Here is a 24,506-nt window from a genome sequence, read left to right as displayed (position 1 = left end):
AGCTGGCCGGGCAGAGGGGCTCCTCACTTCCCAGTAGGGGCGGCCGGGCAGAGGTGCCCCTCACCTCCCGGACGGGGCAGCTGGCCGGGCAGGGGGCTGACCCCCCCACCTCCCTCCCAGACTGGGCGGCTGGCCGGGCAAAGGGGCTCCTCACTTCCCAGTAGGGGCGGCCGGGCAGAGGCGCCCCTCACCTCCCAGACGGGGCAGCTGGCCGGGCGGAGGGCTGACCCCCCCACCTCCCTCCTGGACAGGGCGGCTGGCTGGGCAGGGGGCTGACCCCCCCACCTCCCTCCCGGACGGGGCGGCTGGCCGGGCAGAGGGGCTCCTCACTTCCCAGTAGGGGCGGCCGGGCAGAGGCGCCCCTCACCTCCCAGACGGGGCGGCTGGCCGGGCGGAGGGCTGACCCCCCCACCTCCCTCCCGGACAGGGCAGCTGGCCAGGCTGAGGGGCTCCTCACTTCCCAGTAGGGGTGGCCGGGCAGAGGCGCCCCTCACCTCCCGGACGGGGCGGCTGGCCGGGCGGGGGGCTGACCCCCGACCTCCCTCCCGGATGGGGCGGCTGGCCGGGCAGGGGCTGACCCCCCCACCTCCCTCCCGGACGGGGTGGCTGCCGGGCAGAGACGCTCCTCACTTCCCAGATGGGGTGGCTGCCGGGCGGAGAGGCTCCTCACTTCTCAGACGGGGCAGCTGCCGGGCGGAGGGGCTCCTCACTTCTCAGACGGGGTGGTTGCCAGGCAGAGGGTCTCCTCACTTCTCACACGGGGCGGCCGGGCAGAGACGCTCCTCACCTCCCAGACGGGGTCTCGGCCGGGCAGAGGCACTCCTCACATCCCAGATGGGGCGGCGGGGCAGAGGCGCTCCCCACATCTCAGACGATGGGCGGCCGGGCAGAGACGCTCCTCACTTCCTAGATGTGATGGCGGCTGGGAAGAGGCGCTCCTCACTTCCTAGATGGGATGGCGGCCGGGCGCAGACGCTCCTCACTTTCCAGACTGGGCAGCCAGGCAGAGAGGCTCCTCACATCCCAGACGATGGGCAGCCAGGCAGAGACGCTCCTCACTTCCCAGACGGGGTGGCGGCCGGGCAGAGGCTGCAATCTCGGCACCGTGGGAGGCCAAGGCAGGCGGCTGGGAGGTGTAGGCCGTAGCGAGCCGAGATCACGCCACTGCACTCCAGTCTGGGCACCATTGAGCACTGAGTGAACGAGACTCCGTCTGCAATCCTGGCACCTCGGGAGGCCAAGGCTGGCGGATCACTCGCGGTCAGGGGCTGGAGACCGGCCCGGCCAACACAGCGAAACCCCGTCTCCACCAAGACCAGTCAGGTGTGGCGGCGCGTGCCTGCAATCGCAGGCACTCGGCAGGCTGAGGCAGGAGAATCAGGCAGGGAGGTTGCAGTGAGCCGAGATGGCAGCAGTACAGTCCAGCTTCGGCTCCGCATGAGAGGGAGACCGTGGGGAGAGTGAGAGGGAGAGGGAGAGGGAGAGGGAGAGGGAGACGGAGAGGGAGAGGGAGAGGGAGAGGCCCCCTTACATTTTTGCACGCTATTAATACCATTTTCAGTTCAAAGGTGGAATGGACTGATTGTGACTAAAGATTCTGTATAAGCAAAAGTAGATCTGACATTTTTAAAATGTAAAACAATGCCATTCTTTTCACTAAATTATTTTTTATTTAGAAAATATAGTTATTTTCCATAAAAATGTTAACATGTAGTAAGTTTATCCTTTCTAAATGACTTAAATTTTCCAAAAAAAATTGTTTTAATTTCTGATAAGATCAATATAATAAGCGTGTAAAGGAATCCCAAGACCAAGAAGTTTGAAAACCTTTGGTACAAAATATTACATTTTATAAATCAACCATTGGTTTATTCCTGTGTTCTGTCAATGAATTTTATGTGGTATGTAAGTCCGTGTATGTGTCCCACTGTGTATAAGTATGAGTTCTTCTAGGTAGGGAATATACCTCGACCATTTTAAAGCATTGCATTAAGTAAAGGTGAAAATACACAGACTTCAGAAATATTAATAGAAAGTGGAATTAGGGCTGGGCATGGTGGCTCATACCTGTAATCCCAGCACTTTGGGAGACCGAGGCGGGCAGATCACCTGAGGTTGGGAGTTCGAGATCAGCCTGGCTAACACGGTGAAACCCCGTCTCTACTAAATATACAAAATTAGCTGGGCGTGTTGGCGCACGCCTGTAATCCCAGCTACTCAGGAGGCTGAGCCAGAAGAATCACTTGAATCCAGGAGGCAGAGGTTGCAGTGAGCCAGGATCGTGCCACTGCACTCCAGCCTGGTGACGAAGTGAGACTCCGTCTCAAAAAAAAAAAGAACATGGAATTAGCAGGACTTGGACAGAGCAACAGGCAACTCAGTGTGCAAGGGCCATAGGAAGAACAGCTAAGAGGTAGGAGGAAAATGAGGAAAGAGCAATATCTGAGAACTTCTGTATTTCTTGAACGTAATTTGGGAAAAGAGATGCAGTAGGCCGTATACACCTGCCTTGATTTCTTCTCAGACCTAGCTTCAGTCTACTTGATGCATTTCCAGGGATTAGTGGTCAACAGCCTGCAGCTGCAGGCCTTTTTTTTGGAGCAGCTAAGGACTTAGATACTTTTTGCTTTTTCCTTTCATTTTTCTAGAGCTTTGTCTTGAAGTCCCCATTATCTAGGGAATGGGCAACATGGGGTCACTATCTGAATCCCAGAAGTCTTCCTGTTCCTTACTGATTGTGCAGATCAGGGATTCCATGGGAGAGGCCTGACTGCAGGGGCCCCACTGACTGTTCTGCATCATGTAGCATGCCTTTTGGATGAGAAAATCAGTCTGCTTCCTGTAAGGTATTCAGGGCCACCCACTGTGCCTCTAGTTCTATATATAGGCTCCTTCCAGCTCTGTGATGAGCCACTGCAATGTTTAGTTGGACCCTTAAGCCTTGTTTGTCCATTAGGAGATAAAGTTTCCCAAAAACAGTAGTTTAGTTTCCTTCATCTTTGCAAATTCAGCATAGTGCCTATAATAGAGTGCATATTCAAAGGCATGAATGAAGGAATGAATTAGACTTTTAAATATACTAAGGCCACTTTTCTAGAACTGCTTTTATATAACTGGTGAGGGGACATAAGTAAAAAGGAGTAAAAGGGTGTTTTACTCAGCTGTTTAAAGCACTTGTAATGCTAAATCATGGCATGGTATTTTAACAACATGACATTTTCATAATAGGTAAATTATTTTTTCTGGTGCCAAGTGCCTATTCAAAAGTCTTGTCCTGGTATGTTAAACAAGATACAGTAAATATGGACTATCAGAATATAAGTTTTCTCTAAAATGCAATGTGCACTTATATTTTTGGGTGAGGTAGCTAACTTCTCATTTGAAAGATGAGGTACAGTATATGGTTAACTTGTAAAACAGAAATTCACTTGCTTTATAAGAACGAAATCTCATTTAAATAAACCAGGTTTCTTAGGCATGCTTCCTTTTTTTATATCAAATGTTCTAGGTTTTTTTCAGCCTCTTTAACCTTGCTATATTCTGAATTCAGTAATTTCCATACTATGCATGGTTTCATAAAGGACACAAATTTAAAGAAAAAAGGTACCCATAGATTGCCTCAGAACCCCTTTTTCTGGCAACCAGCAGGAGTTTACCAGGCCATCATTAAAGACATGTTTTTTGGGTATATGTCGTAAATCTCTAGAAACATTGCTTACAAATAGTACTGTGTAGCTATACTTTTGAAACTATAATGTAAAAAGGGTACCATTTGTTGAACTCTTACAGCATCAATTAGGTTGTATTATGTTCACTTTAGGGACAAGGAAATTCAGGCCCTTATGACATTAATTACTCACCCATATCGTTCACAAGTGTTGGAAGCAAGAGTACAACACAGACCTATATGGTTCCAAAGCCTATGCCAGTAGAAATAGTTGTACAGTAAGTGTTATTCGTGAGCTAAGACAATCGTCCTAGGCTTAGCATTGTGTCTGATACGTAAGTGATCAGACAGGTAAACATTGATAGAACTGAAATCCTTTGATCATTTTACCCTTTAAATTCTTCTCTGGGGTAGGAAAAGCTTGTTTTCTGTTTTTGGTAACCGCTTTGAGTATAACTGACATGCAATAAGTTGCACATATTTAAAGTGTGCAGTTTGATACGGTTTTACATATGTGTACATCTGTGAGGCCATCACCCGAGATGAGAAAATGCACAGGCTGCAAATAAAAATGATCTCAATACGGCCTCTGGAAGAACACCTGATCTAGGCTGACTTGATCTAAGGAAATACATGAGTATCATGTAAACGCTGAGGTCAGATCTAAAGGTCGGCTCGGAGCTCCCTATCTGACAAGTAGGGTCCCCTGGCCAGGTTCACTCCATAGGTTAGTCTCGGGGCTACCCTGCCCACGTCCGGAAAGCGGACCTACCTGGGGCCTAACCTTGACCGGACACCCGTCAGCATTCTCCAAATCCGACTTCTACACCTGTATGGGACGGACCAAGTTTCTAGGTCCGCGATCACACCAATGGCGGAAGCTCGTCAGCGCCCGGGTTCCAAAATCCCGCCTCTCAAGGCTTCTTGAGACATTTTGTCTCCCGGCGTGCAATGCGTCCGCCCCGGGTGGCCTCCGCCCGGAAGACGGAAGTGCAAAGACTTCCGGTCGGCGTGAGCGTGAGGTGTGGGTGTTCGTTTCTCAGGTGAGTTCGGTTCCTCACCGGTCCAGTGACACATGGGACTTGGGGCTTGATTCCGCCACCCTTGGAGAATTTCGTTTCTTGACACTCGCTGGGCTATACTTGAGCTCCAGTCCGGAGATGCAGGCCTTGTTGAGGGCGAGGGTTCCCCTTGCTCTTTTTGGTGGGGGCCCTCCGGCTTCCGAGTGCACTGGATAAAGTGGAGCCCACCCCTGTCGTTCACTCCCGCTGAAGTTAACTTCGGCCCTCAAGGTTGTTTGCCGCCCGCTTTCCTAGCCCCTCGCAAGGGTTGAGTTATGTAGACAAGGGAGCGGAATGACTGTGATTGCCGGCGTTCAAAAAATGTTAGTGGTTCGTTCAACAAGTATGCAAAAAGTGTGCGATTCAGCAGTGAACAAGACCTTTCCCTCTACCTTCGTGGAGTCTACAGTCTGGGGAGAGGGTCGGGGGGCGTGACAGAAAACAATGGTTTCAGGTTGTAACACTTAATAAGCAGGGAAGGGAGCTTACGGAGGTCAGAGGAGTCCTTTCTGAGGTAGCGAATGAAGGAGCAAGCCTTGAGAAGAGCAGTTGCCAGGCATAGGGACAGCAAATATGAAGGCACTGACGTAGAGATAGTTTGGACTCTTTACAGACGTAGTTGGTGCCTGCGGGGATGGGGATGGAGAATGAAATGAAATAGAGTTGAAGGAGGCAGGGGACAGATCACAAATGACCTTGTAGATCTTGAATATATATGAGGGAGGAGGTCTTTAAAGAACTCGAAGAAAGGCAGTGAATGCTTTTTTAAAAGATCACACTGAGCACCTTGTGGAGGATTTAGGGCGGAACTGAGTGGAAAGAAAACAAGAGTAGGAATAGATAAGTTTACAGTCGTTAAGTTGGCTTGAGAGGATGGATAATGAAGATGAGGTGAAGTGTTTATAAAAATCATTTGTAATTTGTAAGCTGTTGCATAAATGTAAGGTGATGACGCTGTTGCATTCTGGGGAAATTAAATTTCTGTATTTTGTAAAGAAATTCAGCCGGGCGCGGTGGCTCAAGCCTGTAATCCCAGCACTTTGGGAGGCCGAGGCGGGCGGATCACAATGTCAGGAGATCGAGACTATCCTGGCTAACACGGTGAAAACCCGTCTCTACTAAAAATACAAAAAATTAGCCAGGCGTGGTGGCGGGCGCCTGTAGTCCCAGCTGCTCGGGAGGCTGAGGCAGGAGAATGGCGTGAACCTGAGAGGTGGAGGTTGCAGTGAGCTGAGATCGCGCCACTGCACTCCAGCCTGGGACACAGAACAAGACTCTGTCTCAAAAAAAAAAAAAGAAAAAAGACATGCAAGGTGCTTTCAGAATTGGTTTGATTTGTAGTTTGCTTATGACCACAAGTTTGATTTGATATCTTGTTATTTAGTGACTGTGTATGTACCATGTTGATCTTCATATAAGTTGCATGTTAAGTCCTAAAAAGTGAACAGATTGAAGAGTTTTACTTTTCACTTGTTTTGTAGAGATACCTGTTGGCCTGGTTTTCTAAGGATTTGCCTGTTTTCTTTTTTATATTAAAGATTTGCTTTTGAATGTGTGTTTTTGTTAACTTCAGGTAAAACATGGCTAAAAGCTTACGGAGTAAGTGGAAAAGAAAGATGCGTGCTGAAAAGAGAAAAAAGAATGCCCCAAAGGAGGCCAGCAGGCTTAAAAGTATTCTCAAACTAGACGGTGATGTTTTAATGAAAGATGTTCAAGAGATAGCAACTGTGGTGGTACCCAAACCCAAACATTGCCAAGAGAAAATGCAATGTGAGGTAAAAGATGAAAAAGGTGAGTGTGCTTCTCCTTTTTCTTTCTCTTTTTTTTTTTTTTTTTTTGAGGCAGGGTCTCCTTCCTCTGTCACCTAGGCTAGAGTGCAGTGGTGTGATTATAGCTTCCTGCAGCCTTGAATTCCTGAGCTGAAGCGGATTCTTCCCACCTCAGCCTTCCAAAGCACTGGGTTACAGGCATGAACCACAGTGCCCAGCCCCTCTGCGCTTCATTTAAAAACAAAAAAAATTCTGTCAAGCCTGTTCATGTATATACATATGTTTTGGATTATTTAGAGTGGGTCTTTGGTGCTTATACAATAGCCTCCATGTCTCAGGAATAAACAGTTCTACAGGAGTAGACAAATCTAGGCATACTCTGGTTGGAAGGGTACACAGTTCACTCAGGGCCTAGGCAGCATAGGTCTTCATTTTACTCTTTGTAAGATCTAATTCCCATTCTATGAGTCCTATGCCCTTATACTATTATCCTGAAAATCACAGGGTTTCACTATTTCATTTTGACAGATTCTAGGAACCTTTGTGTCTTAATCATGAAGTTGGAGGATATATATATAATGCTGCTTTTTGCACATTTAATGCACCAATTTGGCAGCAAACTAAATTAAGTATTTGCAATACCCAGACTTTAAAATAGAAATACATGTATTTGATGTCTTATGCCCAAGGAAAAGAGCAGTATTTCTCAATCTCCCAACCTTAGGGGGTTTTTTCCCTTTAAAAATGGCTGTTTTTAACTTTTTCTTCTTCCCATTTCATCCTTCTCCCACTCTGTATGAATAAAAATTACAAAAAGCATTTTACTTCAACTTCTGTGAGAAAAAGGGGCCAACCAAGAAATATCCTCATCTTTCCACTACCCAAGTCTATAAGAATTCAAATGTTGTATAGTCTGTTTTCCCTTTTTTATTAATGTTCTCTCCAAGGCCAGTTTCTCCACTTGTGTTCTGAATCCTCTCCACCGTTAACATTCTCAGGGGTTGTACTCATGCATCTGCCTTATCAGTCTCCTCCACTGGGTCATTGCCAACAGCATAGATGTGTTCTGGGATGTTCAATGTCAAAAGAAAGAAAGAAAAATTTCTCCCTTGATCTCAAGTTCTCTCAATCTGCTGCTTTATTTCAGCTGTCCTTGAAACTTTTTGAAACACTTGCCTTCACTTGCTGTTTTCATTTCCTCACACACACATCACCCCTCCCTATTGGTTCTTTTTTGTTGTTGTTAAGGCAAAATCCACATAACATAAAATTAACCATTTTAAAGTGTACAGTTCAGTGGTATTTAGTACATTCATGTTGTGCAACCATCACCTCTAGTTCCAAAACACTTTCCTCACCCTAAAAGGAAACTTAATACCCATTAAGAAGTCTGTCTCTCCTCCTCCTACCCCCAGCCTCTGGCAACCACTAATATGCTCTTTTCATGTGTGAATTTACCTGTTTTGAATATTTCTTATAAATGGAATCATATATAATGAGACCTTTGTGCCTGGCTTATTTCCCTTAGCATGGTGCTTTTGAAGGTCACGCACATTGTAGCATATATCAGTACTTCCTTTCTTTTTAAGGCTAAATAATAGTCCATTGCATGTACCACGTTTCATATCCATTCAACGGTTGCTGGGCATTTGGATTTCTTTCCCCTTATGGGTGTTGTGAATAGTGCTGCTGTGAACATTCAGGTGCACAAGGTTTTGTTTGATAAGTGGAATTGCTGGGTCATATGGTAATTCTTTTTAATGTTCTCCACATCAGCCACACTATTTTACATTCCCACCTGCAGTGTTTGAGTATTTGAGTTTCTTCACATCCTCACTAATACTTGTTTTCCATTTTCGGATTATAGCCATCTTCGAGGGTATGAAATAGATTCTCATTGTAATTTTGATTTGAAGTTTCCTAATGACTAATGACATTGAATGAAGTGTTTTTTGGTTTTTGTTTGTTTGTTTTTTGTTTTTTTTTTTTGAGATGGAGTCTTACTGTTGCCCAGGCTGGAGTGCAGTGGCATGATCTCGGCTCACCACAACCTCTGCCTCCCAGGTTCAAGCAATTCTCCTGCCTCAGACTCCCAAGTAGCTGGGAATACAGGCGTGTGCCACCATGCCCAGCTGAATTTTGCATTTTTAGTAGGGTTGGGGTTTCACCATGTTGGCCAGGCTGGTCTTGAACTCCTGACCTCAAGTGATCCACCTGCCTCAGCCTCCCAAAGTGCTGGGATTACAGGTGTGAGCCACCACACCCGGCTGAACATTTTTTCATATGCTGATTGACCATTTGTATTATCTTTTTGGAGAAAGGTCTACTCAAGTCTTTTGCCTCGTTTTTCAATTACGTTGTTTGTCTTTTTATTATCGGGTTGTTAAGAGTTCTTTATATGTTCTAGATACCAGATGCCCACATCCACTCTTGATTCTTTTGGATTGATCCTGTTTTCTTTTCTCTCCTGTTTTCTATTTATTTTGTTATACCCTCTAATTTCCTTGACCTTGAATTCTGGTTCTTATTACTTGGTTTTCTCTTATATTTTTAATTTCTAAAAGTTTTTCTTTTTTTTTTTACTTTTTTTTTTTGAGATGAACTCTCACTCTGTCGCCCAGGCTGGAGTGCAGTGGCATGATCTCGGCTCACTGCAAGCTCCATCTCCCGGGTTCGCGCCATTCTCCTGCCTCAGCCTCCCTAGTAGCTGGGACTACAGGCGCCTGCGATCACACCCGGCTAATTTTTTGTATTTTTAGTGGAGACGGGGTTTCACCATGTTAGCCAGGATGGTCTCGATCTCCTGACCTCGTGATCCACCCGCCTCGGCCTCCCAAAGTGCTGGGATTACAGGCGTGAGCCACTGCGCCTGGCCTACTGTTCCTTTTTCATAGCTTTGTGTTCTTTGTGTTTTGTAAATGCCCCTTGAGTCATCAACTCTGTGTTCTTAATGGGCATATATCTTCTCCTAAGGGTATTAATTACAATTTGCTTTTGAAATTTTTATTTATGGTATGTATTATCTGTCTTTCCTCTTGGAATTCCCTCCCAAGCCCTTCCATTCCTTTACTTTTGTCTCTTTCTTTCATATTAGAAGCTTTTCTCAAATGTCTGGTGATCAGTGGTCATTGTTTGTATTTAAAAGTGTGGCACTACAATGATGATTGGAAGCTGGAGGGAGACAAGGTGTGGGAGAGGGTCTGTCAACTGCTAGATGTATAGAAGATTTGGAATGGCTCCAGGAGGTTTTATTCGGAGATCTCCTGTATCAGAATCTGTTAAGTCTTTTTTTTTCCTCATCATCCCCAGAGAGAAATTATCTTATGTCCTGCCTGGGGAATTCTGGATGCCCTTATTCTTAGATATTTTAGGAGCTAAAGGGTGGTGAGACTGAGACTGAGGGAGTCTCCCCATTTAGTAATCTATTTGTTATCAATTTGGCTCTCATCTCTACCCTCAAGTTCATGTTTTTCCTTATTTCTACTCTTTCAACTGCCTGCCTGATTTCTTAAGCCATAAACCTAGTAGTCATCCTTGATTCCTCTTTCCTTTATTCCCCACATCTAAACCATTAGCAAGTCTTACTGATTGTCCCAAAAATACATTAGAAATCTGTATCCATTTTTTTCCTGCTTTCACCTTGATTCAGAAGGCCGTCATCTCTTGCCTGTACTATTATAGGAGCCTTTTTACTTCTCTCTTCCGCTCTTGTTCCCTTCTCATTTATCTTCTACATATCCACCAGTGTGATCTTTTCAGAAGGTAAATCAGTTTATATCACTGCCATGCTTAAAAACCTCATTATCTTAACATGTTCTTACCAGCGCCTACCAGTTCTTTTTTTTGCGGGGAGACAGGATCTCACTTTGTTGCCCAGGCTGGAGTATAGTGGCTGTTCACAGGCGTGACCAAGCCCACAACATCCTTGAACTCCTGGCCTCAAATGATCCTCCCACCCCAGTCTCCCGAATAGCTGAGACTACAAATGCCTATAGATACTATACCTGGCTGAGGTTTTCTTTCTGTTTGCTGTGTTATTCTCCCGTCAACAGAACACTGTAAACTCCGTGAGGGCTAGGAGTTCATATGGACCACTATATCCCCATAAACTAGAACAGCACCTAAAATAATCATTCAACACCTAGTTATTGAGTGGCTGTTATATACCAGACACTATTCTAGATACTGTGGAAACAATGGCAAATATCTAATATAATGCCAGGTAGTCGAGATAATAGAAGACTTTGTGTATCCTGATAAGGAGGTCCCAGTGAGGGACTCTGAGCATGTCCTTCACAGTGGAGAAGGTGATAGGTGTACCACAGCATGTTTGCACTGAGCTTCCTGCCAAGTCTCCTATCAGTAGAGCTGGATCTCTGGGTGTTACCTAGCTAGGAAAAGTATGCCAGCCCCAGGATGTGTCCAGGTCTTCTCTGTTGAGTGCCTGTCTCTGCCATTACAACCCTGCTGCTGACTACTCCATCGAGTTCATTAGAAGTTCGTTCTCAGTTCATTATAATTTAGTTCAAGTTCTTAAGAAATGGCCAGTCATTCCTAATCAGTTCATTACATCTAAGGTGTATCCCTTAGAAGTGTAGGTATGCTTACTGAACTCAAGGAATCACTTAATATGAGAAATGTTGTTGTAACTCACATGTGCTCAGAACCATATATCTACTAATGTACTAACTCAGAGCCATGCATCCTAAATGTTTCCTATTTAACATTACTATTCTAAGGAAGGACAGTCATGCCAACATTCTTTATAAAGTTTTTTTCTTCTCTATTTTCGGTCTACCTTCAGTTCTAATGTTCTGATGTTCTCAGTGCATTAATATGCTTTCACAGGGTGGTTTTTTTCATACATGGTGTTAATAGTTTTTCCATCTTTTTATGCAGATGACATGAAAATGGAGACTGATATTAAGAGAAACAAAAAGACTCTTCTAGACCAGCATGGACAGTACCCAATATGGATGAACCAAAGGCAAAGAAAAAGGCTGAAGGCAAAGCGAGAGAAAAGAAAGGGGAAAAGCAAAGCAAAAGCAGTGAAAGTGGCAAAGGGTTTGGCCTGGTAGACTCTTAAAACCTTGGAAAATGCCACATGGGATAGATGACGGATTAGAATGTATACACATGTATACTTTGATTTCAACTGCCACCAAATGAAAACCATTTGTTTTCCTATTTTAACTTGGCCTTTTTTCTTCAATTCAAACCCAGCATAACTCCTCAAGTTTGTTTTGGGAACTTGAATAAAATATTTTCTTTGATACATCCAAGCTCTACTGATACTTTAACTGGATGCTACCCAATATCCAGTTATAATCAGGCCTCAACGTTCTGTCAGGTATTAATATGGTTAGAATTGTTCTTACAACTGGTAATTATAGTCAATAGAGATAAAACAGATGATGTACTGACAAATTTTTGTGAACTTAGATTTTAAAGAAAGTTGTTGTATAATCATATCATTTAAAAATACTACATTAGGGCTGGGCATGGTGGCTCACACCTGTAATCCCAGCACTTTGGGAGGCCGAGGCAGGTGGATCACGAGGTCAGTTCGAGACTAGCCTGGCTAATACAGTGAAACCCCATCTCTACTAAAAATACAAAATTAGCCGGGCATGGGGGCGCGCACCTGTAGTTCCAGCTACTCGGGAGGCTGAGGCAGGATAATTGCTTGAACCCAGGAGATGGAGGTTGCAGTGAGCCAAGATTGCCCCACTGCACTCCACCCTGGGCAATGGAGTAGGACTCTGTCTCAAAAAAAAAAAAAATAATGGATCTTATAAAGTACTTGTGTGGAGCTTTGATTCCACAGAATAAAAGATATTTTGTGTGTAGATCTTCAAGTCTGATTTTTTTTTCTTTCATGTATGCTTAAGGTTTTTTAGTCCTAGAGAAGACCAGATTTCAATTAAATGTTTTCTTATCTTAATTTTAGGTAGAATATTAACATATACAAATCAGTATGCTTTTTAGGAAATTAGAACATTTCAGGTTTTTCATGGAAACTGATTTAATGTTCTTTAGTGTTAATATTGTGTGGCCTAATATAGTATCATGCAGCATTCCCCGGAGTGTGTTCTTCAGTATCAGTTTCCTCTGGATGCTTGGTTAAAAAAAATAAATTGTGTTCACATCGATTTGGGAAATGCTACATACTTGAAGATTTACAAAAGATTTTAGTTTAGGATTAGAATAGTCCTACAGGGTTCCAGCAGCAAAGAAACCTGTTTAGCGTCTACTCTTTGAAACTAGTTTTCTGAGAAATGATTTTTAGTTAAATCTGTCTTACTACAGTTTGCTAAATTCATTTTTATTTTACTTTTAGTTAAGCAATCTAAACTTAGCATTCCCTCTGAATTTCACTATAATCAGATTAACCATCTCATATGTTAACTGGAACAACCAAATACTTACTGAGTGCCTAGTATGTGGGCCAGGGACTTTCCAGATGCTTGGGACAGATTGAATAAGATAAGATTTCTGCTCTCATAGGGCTGAGAGCTGTGTATCTGTTTAGAAGAAGATGTTAACTTCCCAGGAGAACTCAAGTAAAATGTGAAATAGAATAAGGCCACTTGGTCATGAGGTCACAAACTTTGTGCCAGGCACACTGCTAAATTGGGGCACAATACATGGACATGTATTGTAATAAAGAGGACATGACCCAAATGTTTCAGAAAATTTAAGCTTATAAAATTTGATGCCAGTAAACTCTTGGAATTGTTTAAATATAGTAGACTTTTCTTATTTTTCTCAATAGTTTATTGAAAAGTTGGTAGATAACTTTAAATGCTTAAAATTTCTTAACAGCTAAGAAAGATATGAATTGAAAGATGTCATTCATGATCTTTGTTGCCTTTGGTGTAGGTATGAATAACACTAGCATTTGTGAGGGAAAAGTGAATATGTACATTTTTATTCATAAAATAAAAAAAATTGCAAACAACCAGTTAAGCCACTGACAATATCAGCCTAAATACAGTAGCTGAATTATTTATGTTTTTTTTTTTTTTTTTTTTGAGATGGGGTCTCACTCTGTCACCCAGGCTGGAGTGATTGGCACAAGTGTGGCTCCGCTGCAACCTCCACCTCCCAGGCTGAAGCGATTCTCCCACCTCAGCCTCCCCAGTAGCTGGGACTACAGGTGGGTGCCACCACGCCCAGCTAATTTTTGTATTTTTGTAGAGACAGGGTTTCGCCATGTTGCCCAGGCTGGTCTCAAACTCCTGGACTCAAGTAATCCACCTGCCCCAGCCTCCCAAAGTGGTGGGATTACATGCGTGAGCCACCACACCCGGCCTAATGTAGACATTTTTTATGATTTTTGGAAAAGGGGGCCAGGCACCAAATTCTAACAATTTGGGAGGCTGAGGCAGATGGATCACCTGAGGTCAGGAGTTTGAGACCAGCCTGACCAACATGGTGAAACCCTGTCTCTACTAAAAATACAAAGTTAGCTGGGCATGGTGGCAGGTGCCTGTAATCCCAGCTACTTGGGAGGCTGAGGAAGGAGAATCGCTTGAACCTGGGAGGCAGAGGTTGCAGTGAGTCAAGACCACACCATTGCACTCCAGCCTGAGCAAGAAGAGCGAAACTCCATCTCAAAAAAAAAAAAAAAAAAAGTCTACATTCGTGATATTACACAGTTGGCACTTATTTACATTTTGGCAGCATTGTCAGGTAGAGACCAATGCCAGGGTTATGTTCATGTTTTCTGTGGCTGATAACCTCTAATTTGATTCTGTTGATAGTAGCTTTGAGCTTTCATCCAGAGCCTCTCTGATGTTAGGATTTTCACTTCATTGTGTCCAGTCATGAAGTTTGTCCATTCAGGATTTAACTTGAAAGTTAACAAAATCAAAAATCAAAGCACCATTACCAGAAAACATATTTGGGAATCATGTTCTCAAGTGTCACATGGCCTCTGGAAAGGCGACTGCTGAAGAGAAGTTTACTGACACAGTGTTGTCAGTACCCTCTAAGGCACTGAGTTCCTGAACACTACCAGCAAGATTCTCCCCACCTCCAAATATTGGCAGGAAATTTAGACTAGCATTTCAAAATTAGTGCAGGGGTATGGTCACATCTTTGGCACTTTATTTTTAAAGATTACAAATCGAGAAGTATAGCATAGTCCTTTTATCTTTTAAATAATTAGCTTATTTTTTTGAAATTTGTCATCTTTTTGACTGACATTTTCCAGAGAATTGCTGTAAAGCCACAAGATGGAGCTCAAGCTAAGCACCAAATCATTTTGGAATTAGATTGAGTGAGCTAAATCACATTAGGAATTGAATGTAACACTTTTTGTGTTTTAAGAAATTAAGTCTGAAATCAAAATATAATTTAAAGATGATCAAAACTGCTTCAAGTATTAACTCATTTAATCTGCCCAGCAATCTCATGAGTTTGGTACTAATGTTATCTGAGTTTGGTACTAATGTAATCTCTGTTTACACATGGGGAAACTGAGGCACACAGGCCATACAACTAAAACTGAAATCTGGGATTCAAATTTAGGCAGTGTGGCTCTAGAGCCTATACTCTTACAATGCCATTCTGCCTCTCAAGGATGTGCAAACTCTTGCTAAGAGAGAAAGGTGATTTTAGGATAGAATACCTATTTTTGGGTCAACCTGTGATAGATTGGGTTCATGTGGGCTCAGGATCAGATAAAGAGCAGGTTTAAGTAGAATAATGATGTACAGAACCCTCCTCAAATCTCTAGGCCTAAGGCAGACTGGATTTCCTCAGGTGACACTTCATTAGGAATGGGCTGACCAATCCAAAAGGGGAAGGTGTAGGCCATGATCAGTAGTTGCCCAAGGTACTAATCAGAGAAGAAATGCAAACTGCAGTTGAAGCTCTAAGGTAGAATCAAGTAGTGGTTTTGACCACATCCTATTTTCTACTGTCACATTAGTGTAGATATCTCTTCCCACTATGTAATTCACATGCTACATCAAATAAGGATGCAGCAGTATATATTTGCTTATTAGGAAATTCAGATATTTTCAAAATTTGGATCCGTGTTTCTGGAATATGGCTTAAGAGTTGGAGAAGAAAAATAGCTATAAATGACTTGAATCAAATATCTGAAATGGACTGGTGGTGATGGTGAGGGGCAGCAATGTGTAATTTAGGGAAGTGCTGACCACAACATAAAATTGGGAGGAATCTAAGGCATTGCCAAATTTATAAATACTACAATAGAAATGCAGATGCTAAGCTGTTGGCTAATCTTACTAGTTAAGTGACTAACTTCTGATGCCATCTGGCAGAGTGATTCAAATTTGTGCTAAACACAAAATATATGTCTTTTTCCCTCTATTTGCCTGCATGTATTAATAAAAACACTGTTGCAGTAGACACATACCAATTTTACAAGGAAATGTTTAGGGGTGAGGTGGGACTGTTAAATACTTACATCAGGTCAAAGGTCACTCTGCTGTTTCCAGAGGACTGTCAGGTAGCCAGGAGGCCCAGGGCCACTTTTGGGCCTGCTTACAAAACCCTAAATTTTCCGCAGTTGAATGCCAAGAGTCTTTTGCAGTTATTTTAGAGCAGGGGAGAAAATACAATGTGTTGCCAAATAAGCTTAATTTGGTAGGCAAGCAGTAAAAATAACCCAACAGCCAACATTTAGAGAATGCGTACTCTCTTAAATGCTTTATGTATATTATTTAATCTTTAAAACACTGTGGGATCAATACTTTAATTATCCCTATTTTCAGATGAGAAAACAGTTTGAAAGGTTAACTAAATTTACCCAAAGTCATGCAACTGCTAAGTAGTGAGCAAGCCGCCTGTCCCAGAGTATAGAATGAATACCTATGATGGAAAGCTACAGAGAGACAGACTTTTATTTGATTTAAGGAAGCGCCTTCTAACCAAGATTTTGGGAGCTGAAATGGGCACCTTGGGATCCTTGAGGTGTCAGTCTAAGGTGGACAGGCATTTGGTTGGAATGTAGCAAAATGGATTCAAACACTGTAGAGTTATCCTTCAGAATCTATCGGGGATTGGTGCCAGGATCTTCACAGATACCAAAATCCACAGATGCTCGAATCGCTTACATAAACTGGTGAAATATTTGCATATAACCCATGCCCATCCTCCCATATATAGTCATATGTCACTAAATGACTGGGATGTGTTCTGAGAAGTGTGTCACTAGGTAATATCGTTAATCATTGTGTGAATATCATAGACTGTACTTACACAAATCTAGAGGGTATCGTCTACTACACTTAGGCTATGTGATATAGCCTATTGCTTCTAGGCTACAAATTGGTCAAGCAAGTTACTGTACTGAGTACTGTAGGCAATTGTATCACAATGGGAAGTATTTGTGTATCTAAACATAGAAAAGGTACAGTAAAAATACAGTATAAAAGATAAAAAAATGGTACACCTGTACCACTTATGAATAGTGCTTGGAGGACTCGTGCTTGGGGTGAGTCAATGAGTAAGCCATGAGTGAATGTGAAGGCCTCAGACATGACTGTATACTGCTGTATATTTTTTTTTTTTTTTTTTGAGACGGAGTTTCACTCTTGTTGCCCAGGCTGGAGTACAATGGCGCAATCTCAGCTCACCTCAACCTCCACCTCCTGGGTTCAAGCAATTCTTCTGCCTCAACCTCCCGACTAGCTAGGATTACAGGCATGCACCACCACGGCCGGCTAATTTTGTATTTTTGGTAGAGATGAGGTTTCTCCATGTTGGTCAGGCTGGCCTTGAACTCCTGACCTCAGGTGATCCACCTGCCTCAGCCTCCCAAAGTGCTGCGATTACAGGCGTGAGCCACTGTACTCGGCCTGCTGTAGGCTTTATATACACTGTGCACTTAGGCTACATAAACTTATAAAAAACTTTCTTCAATAATAAATTAACTTTAGCTTCCTGTAACTTTTTTACCTTATAAACGTTTTAATTTTTTAAACTGTATAACCCTTTTATCATAACACTTACCTTAAAACACAAATACATTGTACAACTGTACACAAATATTTTATATTTTTATAAGCTTTTTTCTATTTCCACAATTTTTAATTTTTTAATTTCTTTTTTTACTTCTTAAGTTTTTTTGTTAAAAACTAAGACACAAACACATTAGCCTCCATCTACACTGTCTTCCACCTCCACAGCTTGTCCCACTGCAAGGCCTTCAGGGGCAATAACAGGCATGGAGTTGCCATCTCCTATGAGAGCAACACCTTCTTGTGCAATACCTTCTGGAGGACCTGCCTGAGGCTGTTCACAGTCAACTTTTTCTTTAAGTAGAAGGAGTACACTCTAAAATAAAAAGTATAGTAAAGCCATAAACCGTAGTCATTATTATCAAGTATTATGAACTGTACATAATTGTATGTGCTATACCTTTATATGACTGACAGCACAGTAGGTTTGTTTACACCAGCATCACCACAAACACGTGAGTAATGCATTGCACTGTGATGTTAAGATGGCTACAGTGTCACTGGGCCATAGGAATGTTTCAGCTCTACTGTAATCTTATGGGACCACTGCCTATATTGACTGAAATGTCATCATGCAATGCATGACTGTACTTTAAATCATCTCTAGATTACTTATAATACAATGAAAATGCTATGTAAATAGTTGTTATACTGTATTTAGGGAATAATGATAAGAAAAAAAGTCGGTACATGTTCAGTACAGATGCAACTGTAGTTTTCTTTTGAATATTTTTTATCTCAGGACGAAGCCCCAAATGCAGAATTCATAGATACAGAGGGCCAACTGTTCTTGGAATTTGGGTTGAAAGCTGTTAAAGTTCTTTTCAGCCAAAAAAAAATGCCTCGTAATAAATTGTCATGTTTGAAATGTATCATGCTTGTTTTGCTCTACATAGTTTTTTGGTACTACATAACTGTAGACTTAAGTATCTTTTTGGTGGAAATAAAATATGAAATCTCTTTAATTTTGTTAATGTTAGGTCTGGTATTCGTTCCATTAAGTTCCACTTTAAAGTATGGAAAAATGTTATAAACATCTGCTTTAAACAATGAATGGTACTGCAATAGTCCTGTAAAGAAAAATGAATGGAGTAAAGTCCTTCAAGTTTTCATTTAAAGAATGGCATAGCTTTATAATACATTAAGTTTTTAATATGCGGAATGTATTTAATATCCTAAAGCGATGAATTGTCTTGGCATTATGCTATCTTATGAAACACTTTCTTACTCTCACATTGTGTCTTTATAGTTTTCAATATCAGCAAAACCTTTAAATAGTCTTAGTTGGGTGTTGTGTATCATTGTACAGCAACTGTTAGTACATGTGGTATTTCTGATCCATGTAATAAAGTACATTTGTCATGTATCTTGTGATCTGCATACCTTTCAGCTGTTACTTCATAAATCTGTTCCATCAGAGAACTGCTTTGTACAGCAGTGGTTGAAGCTGCTTTTAAGAAAGTAATATTTTGTGTCTTTTATATGTAATCAACAGGGAGTATTACAGACTTGTGCCTCTGTGGAGAAACTTTCCACTAAACTAGTTTTCTCTTGACAATAATGGAAAAAAAATTGCATGGGAAAAGCACAGATGTTCAAGAACATATGTTGTTTGCTCCTAAAAGTCATCTTTTGTATTATTCTGGATATATTTTTTTTAATGCTTTAGAGAAGAAATGGTTTGAGATATGTGATCAGGAGAAGACAGTTACAAATCTTATTGAGAGACCAACATTGGGTGCTATTTGTTAAAATTCTAAAATGCCTCTCCTTGCTCTCACAAAGAGATAATGTTCTTGAGCAGAGCTGTAGGCAGTTGGCTAAGAATTGGTCATTCCCACATGCTTCCTTCCTTAGACATACACACTCTGCTTCAGTTTTAGTCTTTGTTCTGTCCCAAACTTCAAATTAGCAGTGTCTTCACAAAAGCAGGTATTTAATAATTCAAGTAAAAAGTGATTGCCTTTAGGCCCTTTTGCCCCTTGAGTTACTGGATATTGTCTTCCTTGAGCTGTAGAAATTTGCTCAATGAGTCAGATCTCTACAGACTGGGCAATTGATTATTGATAAATGCATAGGAAAATATTATTGGAAAATGCTTAAGGGAGCTGTATGCCTTACGTGGGGTTGGTATGGACATCCTTTATAAGCCTATGAATCTTTGAGAAGAGTTGCCATAAAGAGAATGGGAACCAGCTGTTCCAAATCTCCACTGAGGAAATAGGTATTAACTTAGCAGAAAGGATTTGGGTTAAATGTAAAAAAGAACTTCCTGAATGTGAGTGTTATTTAAAGCCAGGTGTGGATTGAAAAGAGGTCGTTTGAGTTGTCTCTAGAGGACAAATGGAGCATGCGAGAAAGAAATAGAAGGGGCAGGGAGAGAGATTAATGCCCATTTAATTGAGATGGCTTAAATGTAATTCTTCCCAATGGCTCCGAGGCCTTTTTTCTCCTTTCTGACACCCACACCCCAGGTTATGATGTTTACAAGGTCAGAACTGAAGAGTCTGCTTTAGTCATTAGAACCAAAGTGCTACAGGACCCCTAGGTCTGGAGGTCCTTTCCATGTAATTCTTACTTGAAAGGAAATGCTAAGGTGTGACCAATGGATGAGGAAACGGATCTATGCTTAATTTTCCACCCTTGTCAGTGTACACACTCACAGTGCCAGGAAGGGATTTGATATTTAGCCATTACTGGAAAGGCAAGTGACTGGTAGGCTGAGACCACTTGGGCTTGGGATGAGTGGAGGGCTGAGGAGGGATGGCTGCCAAGCCGTTGCTGGACATGTGTCAACTGGCCATTTTGAACAGGAAATTTCTAGAAGTTGCAGATCAGACTTGGCACCTGGAATTCCAGGAAGCAGAGACTGAGAGGACAGGAAAAATGACCCTTTGCTTTTTGTTTTCTCCTGCCTGTCACTGTGTCCTGCCCCTGCTCCCATTTGGTGCTTTCCTTTCAGGAATTGTTATAAATTCTTTTCTTTGGATTCCTTTACTTTTAGCCTTTCTCCTTCAGTCTGTTTTTCTTATAGGTTTTTAAATTTTTTAAAAAAAATAAATCTTGATTGATTTTTTTTGAGACAGGGGCTCACTCCGTCACCCAGACTGGAGTGCAGTGGCATAATCACAGCCCTCTACAGTCTTGACCTCCCAGGCTCAAGTGATCCTCCCACCTCAGCCTCCTGACTAGCTGGGACCACAGGGGCATGACGCCATACCTGGCTAATTTTTTTCATTTTTTTGTAGAGACGGAGTCTTGCGATGTTGCCCAAGGTGCCTGGGCTCCAGTGATCCTCCTGCCATGGCCTCTCAAAGTACTGGAATTACAGATAGAAGCCATTGCACAATAAAAGATTTAAGGCTGCAAGTCAAACATTAAAAAAAAAAAACACCAAATTTAGTTATAAGTGCTTTTTGTTTATAAATAACCCCTAGCATTTTTCTTTGTGGCCCAATGACAATAATAGAAACAGGTTTCATGCTTCTGTGCTGTTTCTCTTTATCACTTTTTCTCTTTCTTCCTCTTCATTTCCCTCTTTTTTTTTTTTTCTTTCTGCATTGGCCTCTTCCGTGTGAGTATTAACTCTAATTTCCTCCTTGGGCTCAAGTCACTACTCTTCTTGCATTTTCTCTCTATCTCCCTCCCACTCATTCCTCCCATACACCTCAGTCTTTCCACTCATTATGTTTTTCTTACTCTTCCTTTTCACCCTTATCTTCTAATAACTGGATTCAATGTGAACTGAAAAAATGCTTTACAACAGGTGTAGGTGCTATGGTTTGAGTGAGTCCCTCAGAATTCATGTGTTGGGAATTTTGTCCCCAGTTTGCTAGTGTTGGGATGTGGGGCATTGAAAAGGTGACTAGGTCATTAAGTGGGATTAATGCTGTTCTCGAGGGGCTGAGTTAATTCTCGAGTGAGTGAGTTTTCCCTCTCCTGAGACTGGATTAATTACTGCAAAAGCAGGTTGTTATAAAGCTAGCCCACCTCTTTGTACACAGGCTCACTTGCCCGTCCTCTTTTCTGCCATGCTATGGAGCAGCAAGAGGCCCTCACCAGATGCGCTAACCTGATCTTGGACTTTCCAGCCTCCAGAACTCTGAGCTAAGTAAATCACTTTTCTTTATAAATTATCCAGTCTCAGGTATTCTGTTATAGCAACAGAAAATAGACTAAGATAGTATGCAAATGGGCTGGCCCTTTGTTTTTGTAAAAAAGTTTTATTGGCACAAAGCCATGTCCACATGTCCATGAATTGTCTGTGAATAATTTGTGCTACAAAGGCAGAACTGAATAGTTGTGACAGAGATTCTTGTATAATCAGCAAAGCCTAAATTAAAATTTGGCCTTTTAAGAAAAAGTTTGCAGACTGCTGCTTTAAAATATTTTCTATAGCAAGAAGTACCACTACTGAAAAGAAAAATGAAAAGTAAAAAAATAAAATATTTTCTGTTTGTTAAATGAAGGCTTTTGTTCTTTATTTGAAAATTCAGGTGAGTTGGATCTGGTTTTATGTTTCCATCCTGTTGCATTTTATATTTGGAGAATCCCTCCAAGTTTCTTATTGGAAGGCAGTTGTATTAAAAAAAAAAAAAATAGACAAGCTTACCCTCACTCTGTATCAATGCAAGGCAGGTGGTACCAAAAGGTTGTTTGTATGTTTAGGTGTGTTCCCCATCTGCCACCTCAACTAAGCTTCTTTTAGTCTTTGGACTTAAAAAAAAAAAAAGATTGTCCCATTGTAGAGCTTTTTTCACAAATCTCATAACTCACTTTTCCCTTAAGTCTACAAACAATTTTTGAAAATGTTAAATGCTGGAGAAAGAACTCTGTTTTAATTTAATATGGCACCTAGAATACTGGCACATGTAAAGACATTCCAATTTAGTTTGATTTGGTGGGTGGTCTAGCTGAAAATACACTTACAGGTTGGTTTCATTAATAGGAAATTAATATGGACTAAAATAGTCATAGCATTTAAGGCTGGAAAACGTTTTAGAGATCATCTATTTTAACTTGTGCTTCTTAACAGATGAGGAAACTGAGGCCAATTTCCCCAAGAGGTTAGTAGTTCATGGCAGAGACCAGGAGCCCAAGAGTCTTTGTATTCACAGACCAATCTTTTTCAAAACCATAAATAGGTGACAATTAACCACACAAATAATAACATTTGGACTAATGTCAAAATTAATTGTATTCTTTTCTATAAAAGAGGGGTTGTTAAATAAAGCTATGGTGTGTGACTAGTGATCTTTTCTGTAGGTCTGTTTCTGCCGTAGTTAATAACCAATCCTTTCCCATTGGTGGCTGTGCCTCTTTGTTCCACAGGTAGTATAACATCTTTTACTTGAAACAAAACAAAACAGCAGTAACAAACTTCCCCCCTCCCCCATGCCCTCCATCAAAGGCCAGATTTTTTTTGTTTTTGTCTCTACTCTTTCCCTTCTAATTCATCTTGTGTGGTTGTCAACTTCTTTTTCTTTCCATAACTTTTGTTGTTTTTTCTCATAAAAGTAACACATGTATGTTGGAGAAAATTTTAAAACCCAAGAAAGTATAAATGAAATAAATAATTCATAATCCAACCACCCAGAGAATGTGTAGCTCTGTGTATATTTTCATAATTGTCTTAATACTGTATAATTTTATATTCTGCTTTCTTAACTTTATATCATGGGGATTTTTTTCCCATGCTGCTGGAAATTTTTTAAGAGTGTTGTTTGAAAAGTTCCCTCATTCTGTCTTGTGATAAACTATATATTTTTTTATTTGTCTACTTTTGGACATTTAATTTTTTTCTGAAAAAACTTTTTATTTTTGCTATTAAAATACTTCTCTGTAATATTAATGACCTTACATGTAAGTCTAATCCTTATCTGATTATATTCTTGAGGAAGGGTTCTAGAAGAGTATGAACTTTTCTTTAAGACTCCTTATCTGTATTGCCAAACTGCTCTCCTGAAAGGCTGAAACAATTAGTAATCCTTCCAGGAGTGAGTGAGTGCTTGTCTGGGGTACCCTTGAAGGGTTGTAAAATTTAAGCCTTTTAAAACATTCCTTTCAGTAAGTCATTCTCCTGCTAGGAAACTTCCCATGGCTGCAAGACCAAATTGAAGCTTCTTAGCATACTCTCTTCCATTTCTTCACTTCCAGTTGATTTCACAACCACTGCAATCTGGCAGGTCTAACATTATATTGATGTCTAATACCAGGAGTGACAAATTGGTACCCTTGCCCTGGAGAGACTTTGTACAGTGTTCTGCTTTGTTTTTTTGATGAGATTGTTGCCTTTAGATGGGTCAGACACTTCTAAAGTGATCTCTAGCTAGACAGTCCCTTTTGTTTGACACACACTGACCGGCCCTGGGAGGAAACTGCCTTAGGTAAACCCATGCCACTTACGCTCTGTAATCTCTTTTCCTCACACACTCCATGGCTGTCACTGCCAGGGCATCTTGGCTTCTACTGCTTTTTCCTGAGAGAAAACAGTAGATATTTTATTGTGGTAAAATATACAAACATAAACATTTATCTTTTTAACGATTTCTAAGTGTGCAATTCAGTGGCATTAAGTACCTTCACAGCGTGGTGCAATCATCACCACTGTCACTACTGTTTCCAGAATTTTTTATCATTTCAAACAGAAACTCTGCACCCATTAAACAATTACCCCCCATTCTCCCCTCCCTCCACCCCTAGTCTCCACTATTCTGCTTGCTCTCTCTGAATTTGACTACTCTAGATACCTCATATAAAGGGAATCATGGAATATTTGTCCTTGTGTGTCTGGCTTCTTTCACTCAGCATCACGTTTTCAAGGTTCTCTATTATCCATCTTGTAGTATGCATCAGTACTTCATTCCTTTTTAAGGCCAAGGAATATCTCATTGTATGCATATATCACACATTGTGTATCAGGTTATCTGTCAATGGACAGATATATATTCTTCTGATTATTCCTCTGAGATGATTTTGAGGCCCACAGTGCCAGCTCACTCAAATTTCCCAT

General features: G+C 41.5%; 1 protein-coding gene and 1 long non-coding RNA gene across 2 annotated transcripts, besides 2 other annotated features; one reads left to right on the top strand and one right to left on the bottom strand.

Moving 5' to 3' along the window:
• Positions 1–965: 965 nt before the first annotated feature.
• Positions 966–4,664, bottom strand: LLPH-DT (LLPH divergent transcript). Its single transcript, NR_125724.1, has 2 exons — positions 4,440–4,664; positions 966–1,363 (listed from the first exon to the last, which is right to left on the bottom strand). It is a non-coding gene; the product is annotated as an LLPH divergent transcript (long non-coding RNA).
• Positions 4,642–4,751: an enhancer, noted in NCBI's record as "active region_6612". NCBI's record gives its function as "activates an Ori minimal core promoter by ATAC-STARR-seq in GM12878 lymphoblastoid cells {active_cell/tissue: GM12878}" and the evidence as "EXISTENCE:reporter gene assay evidence [ECO:0000049][PMID:35858748]".
• LLPH (LLP homolog, long-term synaptic facilitation factor) lies at positions 4,665–18,860 on the top strand. The gene is made up of 3 exons (NM_032338.4): positions 4,665–4,710; positions 6,302–6,519; positions 11,397–18,860. Exons 2-3 carry the CDS (start codon positions 6,309–6,311, stop codon positions 11,573–11,575), a joined length of 390 nt encoding a protein of 129 aa, NP_115714.1. The 5' UTR covers positions 4,665–4,710; positions 6,302–6,308; the 3' UTR covers positions 11,576–18,860.
• Positions 4,792–4,941: an enhancer, noted in NCBI's record as "active region_6611". NCBI's record gives its function as "activates an Ori minimal core promoter by ATAC-STARR-seq in GM12878 lymphoblastoid cells {active_cell/tissue: GM12878}" and the evidence as "EXISTENCE:reporter gene assay evidence [ECO:0000049][PMID:35858748]".
• Positions 18,861–24,506: the final 5,646 nt, after the last annotated feature.

The sequence above is a fragment of the Homo sapiens genome, chromosome 12 (genome assembly GCF_000001405.40).
Source record: "Homo sapiens chromosome 12, GRCh38.p14 Primary Assembly".
Taxonomy (NCBI): domain Eukaryota; kingdom Metazoa; phylum Chordata; class Mammalia; order Primates; family Hominidae; genus Homo; species Homo sapiens.
This window is presented reverse-complemented; position numbering and strand designations above follow the sequence as displayed.